Here is a 12,297-nt window from a genome sequence, read left to right as displayed (position 1 = left end):
TTTAAATATTCTGCCAAGTGGAAAACAAGATAGTTTTGGCATAACCACAATTAAGCTAAATGCTAAATGATTATACTAGACTCTGATAACACATCAAATATATCTATATATGCCAATTAAAGATGTATAAAGGAAACCTCAGTCATCTAGAATTTGTGATAATCTGAACATGTGTTAAAGTTTGCCTTTTATTCAGGTTTTGGAGCAAATAAATAAGTGCCCATTCTGCTTATTATGCTGAATCATATAACATGACATTTTATCAAAACCAGTAGAAATGCTTTTTAAATGGTTTGATAATTATCTTGCGTTATATGATGTTTAAAAGCATACAGTTCAGCAAATGAATGCCTCTTGAGTCACAATTGCCTAGAAAATACTAATACTTATTTTCTTCAAATGAATCCCTCATATAGGCTCATTTGTAAAAATTGGCCATATCAGAGCTTGCAGTGAGCCGAGATCACGCGACTGCACTCCAGCCTGGACGACAGAGTGAGACTCCATCTCAAAAAAAAAAAAAAAACTGGCCATATAAGAAACTTAACATTCATACTGTTTAAAGATTCAAAACAGCTGGCCCCATACCCATTTGATTGGCTTGAAAAAATACATTAAAACGTGTCTAAATCTTGATCTGCCTATCAAAAAGTCCAGCCTCATGTTGAAAGCAGTAAAACTTTCATTAGTGATAAAGTTGTTAATTTTTTGTAGTTCTTAAACAAAATTACTTAACATAAAAGTTTCTTAAATGCTTTTTAAAAGCTGTCCTTTACTGAATTGCATGTTATTAGATGATTTGTATTCTTCTTGCATTTTATGTAGTCCTGAGCAGACATAAGAGAGGAAATAAAAAAAGAATCAATAACATTTTTAGCATAACCAGATGTAAATTCCCCACATCAGTCTGGCATGGGGAAATGATTACAAAGTAATGTGATACTTTGAATTTGTGCATATATGGTATCCGGGCAGAAAAGACAACACCGCCAGCTTGACTGCTTATCCTCAGGAAGGCCTGCTTATAAGACTGGCCCTTGGCTGATGTCTGGGAACTTGGATTTTTTGGGAAGGTTCCCACCCCTCTAACTGATAAGCGTGGTTCACTATGTGTGTGCTGTTTATGCAAGAAATGTGGTTTATGCTGGATACTTGCTTTCCTTCCGAGAGTCTGGAATTTTAGTACATGCCAGGCAGAGACTGCTGACATGACCAGTTTCAAATAGAAACACTGAGTACTGAGTCTCTCAAAAGCTTCCCTGGTTGGCAAAATTTCATTTGTGTTGTTGTCTCCATTATTTCTGGCTGCTATAAGAAATACCATAGACTGGATGTGTTAAACAACAGAAATTTCTCTCTCATGGTTCTGGAGGTGAGACGTTAGAGAGCAGGCGCTGGTCAGTTTGGCCTCTCTTCCTGATTCAGAGACGGAGCCTTCTTGCTGGTTCCACACATGGTGTTATTGCAGAGAGAAATCATCTCCACAACATCTCTTCTTACAAAGGCGCTAATCCCATTCATGAGGGCTCCACTCACGTGACCTAATCACTTCCCAAGGCCTCACTTCCTAATACCATCACATTAAGGATTAGGAAGGATCTCAACCTGTGAGTGGGGATGGAGACACATTCAGTTCGTAGCAGTGGTCACAACTCATTGCTGGGGGAATTCAGTCCCTGTGCCACTCCCTGGGAGTGGATTCTTGAAGCTCGCACCTGGTTCCCCTGGACTTTTTACCCTGTACACTTCTTCCTTGTGGTGATTTTGCTTCGTATCATTTTGTATAAATCATCATCGTGAGTAAAACCCTATGCTAGATTCTGGGTCTTCCTATTGAATCATTGAACCTAGGGGTGTGTTGGGAACTGACACAGGACCTTAATGGTGGTGACTCAGAGTTCATTTGAGAGCTGTGTGCTGTTGGTAGTCATTTGTGAATGACAAGGCTCAGCATTGGGGCATTGCAGAAGAGATCTGGTGGTAGTTCATAAACATTTTTCTCAGTATGACGTTTAGGATACTTTCTTCAAGCCATCCTAAGAATGGTCATGGGCCTTCTACTGTCTTTAAATTTAAAGGTGAAATCTTTAGTTTTATTTAATATCTTTACCTTTTTAAAGAAAGGTGCTCTAAATTGCCAATGATTAGTACCGTGGTCAGCTTGATAGATGTTGAATTTAATTGAGGAGGCCTCAAACAGCACTTAAAGACTCTATTCTTCCCTAATCCTGTCCCCGTCCTGTCTGCCTGCAGTATCTACTCCCCACCTACCCCATTCTGAACCATGTAAGAGCTATTGTTATGTATGTCCAAACATTGACATCTACCTAGTTCTCTTTTGCAAAGTATGAAGAAATTTATTCTTCAGGTGTTTGTGTATTGCTAAGTACTATTATTAACTCTTAGGAAAATTGATATGTAGATGGAATCAAATTTAATACTAATAATTTTCACTATTTATTATATGACAGAGTCTGAATCTAAACTCAAATTTATGTATAACAACAGCCTTAAAGAAAATTAAAAGACTAAGTATGCATATGCTAAATGAATTGATCATGCTGCCTGAAAAAAAAAGTTAAAATGTTAAAGAATATTCTACGTCTTTGGCACCATAAACCTCCTTGTCTGCCTTTCACATTACACAGTTTTATTATTACTAGTTTTATTATTTATTTATTTATTTTGACAGGATGCCACTCTGTCGCTCAGTGAGCATGAGAGTGCAGTGGCACAATCATGGCTCACTGCAGCCTCAACCTCTGGGCTAAGGTGATCCTGCCACCTCAGCCTCTTGAGTAGCTGCGACCACAGGCACGAGCCACCATGCCTGGCTGATATTTTGTATATTTTTGTAGAGACGGGGTTTCACCATGTTGTCCAGGCTGGTGTCAAACTCCTGGGTTTGAGTGATCCACCTGCCTTGACCTCCCAAAGTACTGGGATTCCAGGCGTGAGCCACTGCACGCCCTACTCCACAGTGAGTTTTAAATTATTTTTTTCCTTTTTTTTGGAAGATGCCTCCATACCAATTCCGTATCAGTGGCTGCAGCTGGCTGCCGCCTAAACACTCAGGGTAGATTCTACTGTTTAATTTTAGGATGCTCCAAGCCATGGTTCATAGTTTCAGGAAGCCACCAATTCATGAGACTACAAAACAAGATGGAGAAATCATTGTTGCTAAATCTCTATCTGATAGGCAAAGATCAGGAAGAACTGTGCAGAAAACTCAGGACAAACACCCACTTTCATAGGATCTATTGGCTTTCAATTTGGACTGCCATGAGCTAACTGACAAATCCCTCTATTTCTGAAGCTGAAGAAGTTCTTTTTAAATATAGAGTACTTATATAAGAAAATACTAAAAGTGTGCCTATTTACATATATTGAAAGCATAACTATTTGCATAGTCTATGACAAAATCTATATTGTATATTTAGCAGATAACACGATTTAACGGTTAACTAGCAGCAAGGATAAAATTTTTCTCTGGAAAAACAATCAGATTCAAGCATCTGATAGCTCTTTGAGTCTAAGAGGATAGCAAGGATGTATAGGGAAGCTCCCCAGAGTTACTTGGATTTGGTAGCAGTTCAAATCTAGATCAGCTGTCAACATGCAGAATGTCTTGCTACCTATGAGAGAACTTAGGGATTCCTCAGCAGTTTTCAAAAAATATGTGTGTTAAAACAACCTGGTCCTTAAAGCATGGAGAGTAGACCAGCACTGGTCCAGGAACGTGTGTTACTGGTCTACAACTAGATTCGTGTAGAAAATGGAAGGATTTAGACACCTTATAGCAATTTCACATAGCCATGGCATCCAAATAGTTGATCATTTTTCTCGTAGTTCCTCATTATGGTATTTTACAAAAGCATTGGTCTGTGATAGGTTGGAACTTTTCTCTAACTGGCCTTTCACCTAAAGGGAACGCTTGTTAAAAGTTCAGATTCCTGGACCCCAGCACAAACCAATAGAACCTGAATTTCTGGAAATGAAGACAAGTCCCAGGAACCTGCATTTGATCAAGCTGCCTGTGTCATTCTTTTCCATGCTGAACTTTGAGGACTACTGCTTTATGGGGAGGACCAACTGCACAGCTAACATACTCCCCTAAGTATAAGATTGGCTTTTGAAAACCATCCAGTTTAAGAACCAGAGTTGCAAAGGTCACAACTCCAACACAACTGACTCCAGTCCTTACGGACGCCATTGTGTTATTAGCTCATAGAAATGCCCAAGTAGCAAAGAACTGTGGTTTCTGGGTACAGTTCCACTGCTAGGTTATACAGTGACTTTGTGTAAAAGACACTCTTGAAGCCACCCCCCTGCCATGTGCAAGCAAAGTGTTGTAATAAATATATTGATTAATGATGCCCGTGATGAAGTCCACCCCCTTCAGCGTGATTCCTTGTGCAGAGCTGGCAGAGCAGATGTCATGCCCAGGAGATGGGGAGCCCCCAATGCTGGGCAGTGCACAGCAACTTGGTCTGTAGCCCCTGATTAGAAAACATGAAGCCGTCCTCAGCTCCACAGACACAGGCTCTGGGAAAACTTCAGCCACCAGAGAACATTCACACCAGAGCACTTCTTGTTTGTTTAAGGTTTTTTTGTGGGTTGTTTTGTTTTGTTTTGAGACAGAGTCTTGCTCTGTTGCCCAGGCTGGAGTCCAGTGGTGCAATCTTGGCTCACTGCATCCTCCAACTCCCAGGCTCAAGTGATTCTCCTGCCTCAGTCTCTCAAGTAGCTAAGATTACAGGCACATGCCACCATGCCCAGCTAGTTTTTTGTATTTTTAGTAGAGATGGGATTTCACCATGTCGGCAAGTGACTGGAAATAAAAGAATTTAATTCTCCATGGGCAGATGTCATTCACCATGTGAATTCCTTGTATATGATTTTATACAGGGGAGAAAAAATGTTTGAGAGCAGTCATTACTAATCAGGAGGCAGACTTTTGACCACTGCACTCATGTTTCTCCATGGGTGCAGACATTTCGAGCATCTGGGGGGTACTGCTTCCTTTTCCTCAATTGGTGCCACCCGAATGCCTGAATCACAGTGCTTTAGGCTGATCTAAGGGAGGGGCAGCAGCCAGGCAGCCATGGAAGAAGGAAGGAAACTGGTAGAGGGACCTGGGAGAAAAACAAGAGGAATTGACCCAGTAACTTGAGGTTCTGACCATCGCTCTTGAGAGCAACTTGACTGCATAGAATTTGAAGTGCATAATCCCCTTGTCTTTGTTAGGAGTGTGTTTTACTCTCAACTATGATACCATATCATGACTCTGACATCTACTACACAAGCTATCCTTGCTGACTCTGGAGCAGTATCCCCTCTCCTGTTTCCTTCTACCCCTTGTCCACCAGGCAGCCCCTTGAGCTTCACACTTCTCCACCTTTGGGCAGCCTTTCTGGAACCCCTCAGCAAAATTAGGCCCTTTCTCTCTTCTCTCCCAGTGTCCCTTATACAGGACTCCTCTGGTATGGGATTTTTGTGTTGCACACATGGTTGGTTAATTAGGGAATATTACTGTCATCTTCAGATAAATATTGGCTATAACAAGAATAACTGTGCTGCTTTATGTTTTTTATAACAAGGGACATCCCTTTCAGAAAAGAGATGTCTTTTTTTTTAACTTTCAAGTTAATAGTGGCATGGTGGTGTTGAGAAAAGAAAGAAAGCCATTAGTCTAGATAAAGAATAAAATGTACTCAGGCCTGGCGCGGTGGCTCATGCCTGTAATCCCAGCACTTTGAGAGGCCGAGGTGGGGGGAGCAGGAGGTCAGGAGATTGAGACCATCCTGGCTAACACAATGAAACCCTGTCTCTACTAAAAATACAAAATATTAGCCGGGCGTGGTGGTGGGCGCCTGTAGTCCCGGCTACTTGGGAGGCTGAGGCAGGAGAATGGCGTGAATCGGGGAAGGGGGAGCTTGCAGTGAGATCGCGCCACTGCACTCCAGCTTGAGCAACACAGTGAGACTCCGTCTCAAAAAAAAAAAAAAAGAATAAAATGTACTCAGTGATGATTAGCTGTTATAGCTGATTATTTGAAACATTAAAAAATTAAAAGTTTAACACTGATAGTTCAGTGAGAAAAATAATTTTGTTAATATGAATCTTAAACTCTGTCGCTTTAACTCCATTTCTTTCCATTCAGACAACTATAGTATAAGAGCTGATCCATTGTACAGTTTTATGTTACAAGTTTTCAAACAACTGTATTATAGTCAATTTATAATCAAGCAACTATTTTATAATTTAGTTTTTATGGCATTTGTTTCTTTGGAACATAACTGTCCCATCATTGCAAACCAGATGGGACATGTGTATAGAATGTGATACAGGAAACTCTGATTTGGGGGGTTGCAAATCTGTCCTTCACTAGCGTGTGGTTCCCTCAAGTTCACTGACTTCTTTTCATCTCTCCTTACCAGGCCCACAGTGATAAATTAAATGAGCGAATAGATATATATATATATAGTGTTACATTTTAATATGCCCCCATACTCCATGAACTGCATACACACCACTTAATGGAAGTTATAACATTGCAAATGCAACAACAACAAAAAAGTAAGTGTCTCTTGCCACAGTCATATCCCATCACCACCACCCCTCCCCCAAAAAACTCATCCCTCTCACATGGAGTTGTTCATTAGGTTCTAATTTTTGGTTTTCATGTCAGGAATCCTCATAATGATGTCCATGTGCAGAGAGGTGCACGTGTATGAATATATCCCATCCGTGCGGCAGACGGAGCTGTGCCACTACCACGAGCTGTACTACGACGCAGCCTGCACCCTCGGGGCGTACCACCCACTACTCTATGAGAAGCTCCTGGTGCAGCGCCTGAACATGGGCACGCAGGGGGATTTGCATCGCAAGGGCAAGGTGGTTCTTCCCGGCTTCCAGGCGGTGCACTGCCCTGCACCAAGTCCAGTCATTCCACACTCTTAAAAAGGGTTTCTTGGGAATCAATGTGCAATAAGGTACTACTGTTGTACTCAAAGTCACAAAAGAATACTTGAAGATAGATTTTAGACAGTGTAGTTTTGAGTCTTTAAACAGTAATTTAGTGGTGGTCATGATAATCCTTCTCTTTCTAAGCCATTGAGTATGTATTACTGCTTTGAACATAGAAATGGTTTTTTTAAAAAAATAAGGCTCAAGAAAGATGCAAAACCAAGGATAGCTAGAAAGAAAACACATGTATGACCATGGGTATGATACCTCCAGAAATGTTAACAACTTATTCTTCTGCCATGAGTACCCCTCATCAGGGTTGGTTTCAATGACAGGTTTTGGTGATGTTCCTGACCATATGAAGTGGTTTATGTTTAGAAACATTCAAATTGAGGGACATCATTTACAGCATCGAGTGTGTCAGTTATACATGCATTCATCATTAAATATCCTAGGTTTTATGACAGACATTGAAATTATCACTCAGATGTGTTTAACAGCAAAAAATTCCCAGCACATCCTGGCAAAGGCTTTTATTTCCAACCGTTGCATTCTTCATCTCTGCCTCCCATTGCCCACTGAATGCTTTGCTTTCTGTGCATCAAGACAGAGTTCTAAAACCAGAAAACATCCATCTTGAAAGGTCCAAGAAAAAGCCAAATTCCATATAGCACCACAGAGGAGGCCCTTTGTTTCCCTGCAGTATTTCAACCAGGAACATTAGTATCACATCCACCAGGAGGCACATCACTGGCAAGTAACATAGAATCACAGGGCTGCAGGTGCCCCTGGACACTCCCCGGTTCTGGCTTTTCTGCCTTGTACCTCCTCACCTGCAGATCTACCCTGCAGCTTTTGCATAGTCAGTGACACACTTGACAATTGGCACAGCTGTGCTGGGGAAGACGGGAGACACCTTGCTCCTTCCAAACTAGAAGGAAAGATTTTGGAGCCATCACCCTGTGCTTCTAGGGATGCACGCCTGTCTTTATTATACAGGTTTCTTGCAGGTTTTTATCAGCCAGTGGGAACTCCACAGTGATGAGCACTGAATCTTCACTAAATCTTCCTACAGACATTTAGGAATCCAGTCCTTGCTTTTGCAGATATGTTTTATGTCAGCAGCATGACAAAGCCATATAATTAAATAATTTATGTGAAAGCATTGCTTATTAACAAGGAAAATATGTAGATGCTTCAGAGGGAAAGGCAGCTAGAGGGAAATTTTCATCCCAATATGTTAGCTATATTCAGGGTTGATTTTTTCTTTAATCTCAACTGTCACTGATACATTGAAAAATTTTTGCTATGAATATAGTGAAACAGAAACATTCTGTAATACCTTAATTAAACATGCTATTATTTCAATGTATAACCAAAACATATCTCCATGGTACAGTTAAGACTTGTTGCAATGACAATAGCAGCTTAATTAAATGCGTTCTCCCTTGCAAAATGTATGAATGTCAGGAGAGTTTAGTGGAAAAGTTTTCTTTGTTTCAGGATTGGTTTCTTCTAGACTGTTCTCAGGACTACTTTCTTGAGCAAGAATGGCTTACAGAGACTGAAGGCTTCTGTTTGGTTAGTCTATTCAGCAGATATGGAGCTGGAAAACAAGACATCTCCTATAGCTTGCTATAATAGTGAAGGAGAAATTGGAAAGTTTTAATCACAATAATATCCAATAAAAGCCCATTTTGAGAGTTTTGTTATTAAGTCAATGAGAAGGGATAGGTAACTTTGTCCTATATATTAACTTATGTCTAAATAGACATGGTTAAGCCATGTTCCTTTCTAATTTCTTTTCTTTTCTTTTTTTTTTTTTTTTTTGAGACAGTCTCTCGCTCTGTCGCCCAGGCTAGAGTGCAGTGGTGCGATCTTGGTTCACTGCCAGCTCTGCCTCCCACGTTCACACCATTCTCCTGCCTCAGCCTCCTGAGTAGCTGGGGACTACAGGCACCCGCCACCACGCCCAGCTAATTTTTTGTATTTTTAGTAGAGACAGGGTTTCACCGTGTTAGCCAGGGTGGTCTCGATCTCCTGACCTTGTGATCTGCCTGCCTCGGCCTCCCAAAGTGATGGGATTATAGGCGTGAGCCACCACCGCGCCCGGTCATTCCTTTCTAATTTCTTGAAAAAACTTTGTCTTGTCCTTATGTTTACATGTGTGTAATAATTTCAGCAACTCTGGAATGTGGGTGAGGTGGCTGTGGTGGATGAATATTACTCCCTACCCTCCTTGGATCTTTCTAGATCTTCCAGACCATTAAATGCCCCTGAAGCTCCTTTTATAGTTTTGCAAGTGGATTTACTTGTAGACATCCTTACTATCCAGCATAATCCCCCTTGGCTGACATGAGAACTTGGTTAGAGGAGAATTTATTGGGGTCAGTGTAAATATTCAAGTTCAAAAGCCTCAGAACCCAACACTTTAAAGATTTTTAAATGGAATTTTGTCGTAGTCATTGTACTTTTAAAATAGTACTTTCAGTTTCATTGAGGTTACAAGAAAGACTGAAGAGTACAAAGGAAATTTAGTTACAATTTTTGCATTTATTATGGCCTTAAAGACTCTTGGGAATCAGGCTCTGTTCAACAGTCAATAAATGTAATACACACATTAATATAGTACTGACTGGGCGTTCTTCTATAAAAGTTTAAGTTCTTTGGCTTCTAAGAAAATGTTGGGCAGTTACAGTTAACTTGATGACTACTTCTAGTATTAGCCAAATGGGTCCTAAGTGGCAGCATTTTGCCAGACATTGACTAAATCCTTACATGCCACATTTACTGAATTCCAATAAACATATAGTTCTTCTGTGGAGTAGTTAACAGTAAGTGGCAGCTCACTGAATTTCTCCCAGGTTCTGTCTCTTCCAAAATCCTCCATCCTCTCTTATGAAGGGAAGCTGATAAAAAAAAATCCTCTTGGTGCAAGCTGAAGCTGTTAAGGATTCCTTTTTTCACTCTCAGGACCAACAGACGTTCTTTTGTATTTCAAGATAATTTCACCTGTTGTTGTTGTTGTTGTTGTTGTTGTTGTTGTTGTTGTTGTTGTTACAAAGAAACAAATTTTGAGCAGCAATGACAATTCAACCATATCTAGATTCTCCCTACCTTATTTCTCCAGCCAGTCACACCAGGCAGACGGGTAACCTTTAACAGACCTGGTGTTCTCATGGAATACCGATGCTCGTCCCAGGGAGCTGACCTTTCTCACTATGTCCTTATAGAGCTGCTCTTACAGAGAACTTTGTGCTCAGGACCAAGGGATGGTCAATTAAAAGTTGCATGTAAGCATCAGGCTTGGATGGGCAAGGGAGGGCTTTTATACATCTTTGAACGACCAGGTCTTTCCTTGTCTGCCTGAAGGCAGAGCTTCGAGAAACAGCACTTCCCATGTGTCTGGTCCTCTTGGTCTCTCAGCCAGACACTTAATCAATCCTGGACTCTCCAGTAGTCCTCAGTCATTGTAGCCATAGCATCTGCAAAAAAAGAAATGCTAAAATAATCATTAGCGTTTTCAAAATTAGGAAATCAAAGTAGCTGGGTCACTCTCTTACATGTGTATGAGCCAGTTAATTCTGCTGGACAGATCATACTTACGCTGCTGATTGACTCTTCTGAGCAGTAACACATCTCCTGAATTAATTAGGTAGGTCCCGTTTGGGTGCTTTAAGTGGGATCAGTCTTAGATGAGTGCCAGTATGTGATTGAATTTCATACGCACAAATGCCATGATTCAAGTTCTCTCTCCAGTTTTTCTTATAGATCAACACACAGTACATGTGGTCAGTTACTTGGTTGAATTTCTGCTTAGCTGTGGTAAGAGACAGAGAAAGGGAGTGAGGTGGGACCAGGGGAATTATCAGAAAGACATGAGTGAACCTATTGGCCAGGTAGCTTCCAAGTATGTTCTATTGTATTGTCTGTTTTGATTCTGATAGTTTAGAACTCTTTCTGATAGTTTAGAACTCTTACCCAGTGGTTACATGACTGATCAAGGCAACTCCATCTGGAAATTAATTGCTTGGGTAAAATGTCCCTGAGTTTCAACTTGTCTTTTATCTCTGGATATTCTCTTATGAGATTATTATGCATGTTTCTGTCACATGGGCATTATTTACACACTTGATAAATGAAAGGTATTTCTCTGTCCGTTCAAGGAAATAAAATGTAAGTTCTTGTTTTATTAAATGAATGAAGCCTTTTGGTTAAAAAAAAAGTAATGTAATATGTTTCTGTTCAAACTTGAGCTAATGACATTTAAGGAATTAAAGACATTGATCTAGTTCTTAGTATGAAAAGTGTACATGTAGATATAGTTATATAATTGTGTATATACATATCTACACACATGGTTGGTTTTATATTGCTTTTTCATCAATATTTTTGACTGAAACCTTTACAATAAATTTTATTTTAATTATGTAACCACTAATATTTTGAGAGAAGGAAGCAAATGTTATATGTCCTTCTGTTAAAAGAAAAAAAATTCAGTCCTCCGCCAACCGCTTCCCACACACTCATACTCTGCACATCTTGGCTACATTAAAATGGACTGACAGAATTATTTAAAAGGCACTATGAAGGTAGAACACTACCTTAATATTTTATCCTAGTCAGAAGCCTGATTTAACACTGAACTTTGAAGGGAAGCTTAGCTGTAGCTCATGGCTTTCAAAGATTAGAAGAAACATTTACTGGTTCTATGGAAAATAGTCTTCTTGCTAGGTAGATTGGAAACAAAGAAATTGCATTGGTGGTGTTAAAATCTAACATTTATAACAAATCCTGTTTTATTCTAGATGAAATACTTAGACAATTCTTCCAGTGGAAACCAGTGAACTTTTTTAACAGCTTTGGGAATTCTTTTGTATGATAATTTTTAAAATGAAATGTGTACTCTTCAAACTAATTAAAGCTTGAAGTTTTCCAGGAGTCGCATTTTAAAAGTGTTTGTACACATTTTAACACTTGGATATTTTCTATTTTGGTTTTGTATATTTTTATGTATACACAATGTACAGACTTTTTTCTTGTAAATAAAACATGTTTTCATTTGTCTAGAAGTTTCTTGTTTTAATTCGTAGAAGTTACACATACAAATGAGCAAGTGGCAAAATAACAATCCATCCCTAGGAAAACAAATGGCAAAGCTGAAATCTAATTAGAAGACTGAGTGGCGACAGAAGGAACAGCAGCAGGCCTTCAGCCATGAATATGGACGCAGCCTGGGCCTAAAACCACAGGTGGGCGGGTTTCTTTCTTCCAGGGATTAATGGCCACATGCCGGAGAATGAAAGTGGCGAAATCAAGTGGAAAAGG

General features: G+C 39.9%; 1 protein-coding gene across 10 annotated transcripts in view; it reads left to right on the top strand.

Moving 5' to 3' along the window:
• Positions 1-12,041, top strand: part of ST6GAL2 (ST6 beta-galactoside alpha-2,6-sialyltransferase 2) — an 85,678-nt gene extending 73,637 nt beyond the window's left edge. For 8 of the 10 annotated variants that reach the window (NR_136313.2, XM_011511999.3, NM_032528.3 and 5 more), the window contains one exon: positions 6,692-12,041. Coding sequence is in view for 9 of the 10 variants with exons in the window: in XM_011511999.3 (XP_011510301.1) it covers positions 6,692-6,963 (272 nt within the window). In the remaining variant the exon portion in view is untranslated. Of the gene's footprint in view, positions 1-416; positions 566-6,691 lie in introns of those variants that run through there. The other 2 variants (NM_001142352.2, XM_011512001.3) reach the window with 1 other exon arrangement.

The sequence above is a fragment of the Homo sapiens genome, chromosome 2 (genome assembly GCF_000001405.40).
Source record: "Homo sapiens chromosome 2, GRCh38.p14 Primary Assembly".
NCBI lineage: Eukaryota > Metazoa > Chordata > Mammalia > Primates > Hominidae > Homo > Homo sapiens.
Note: the sequence above shows the minus strand (reverse complement) of the source record. Positions and strands in the feature narration are given on the sequence as shown.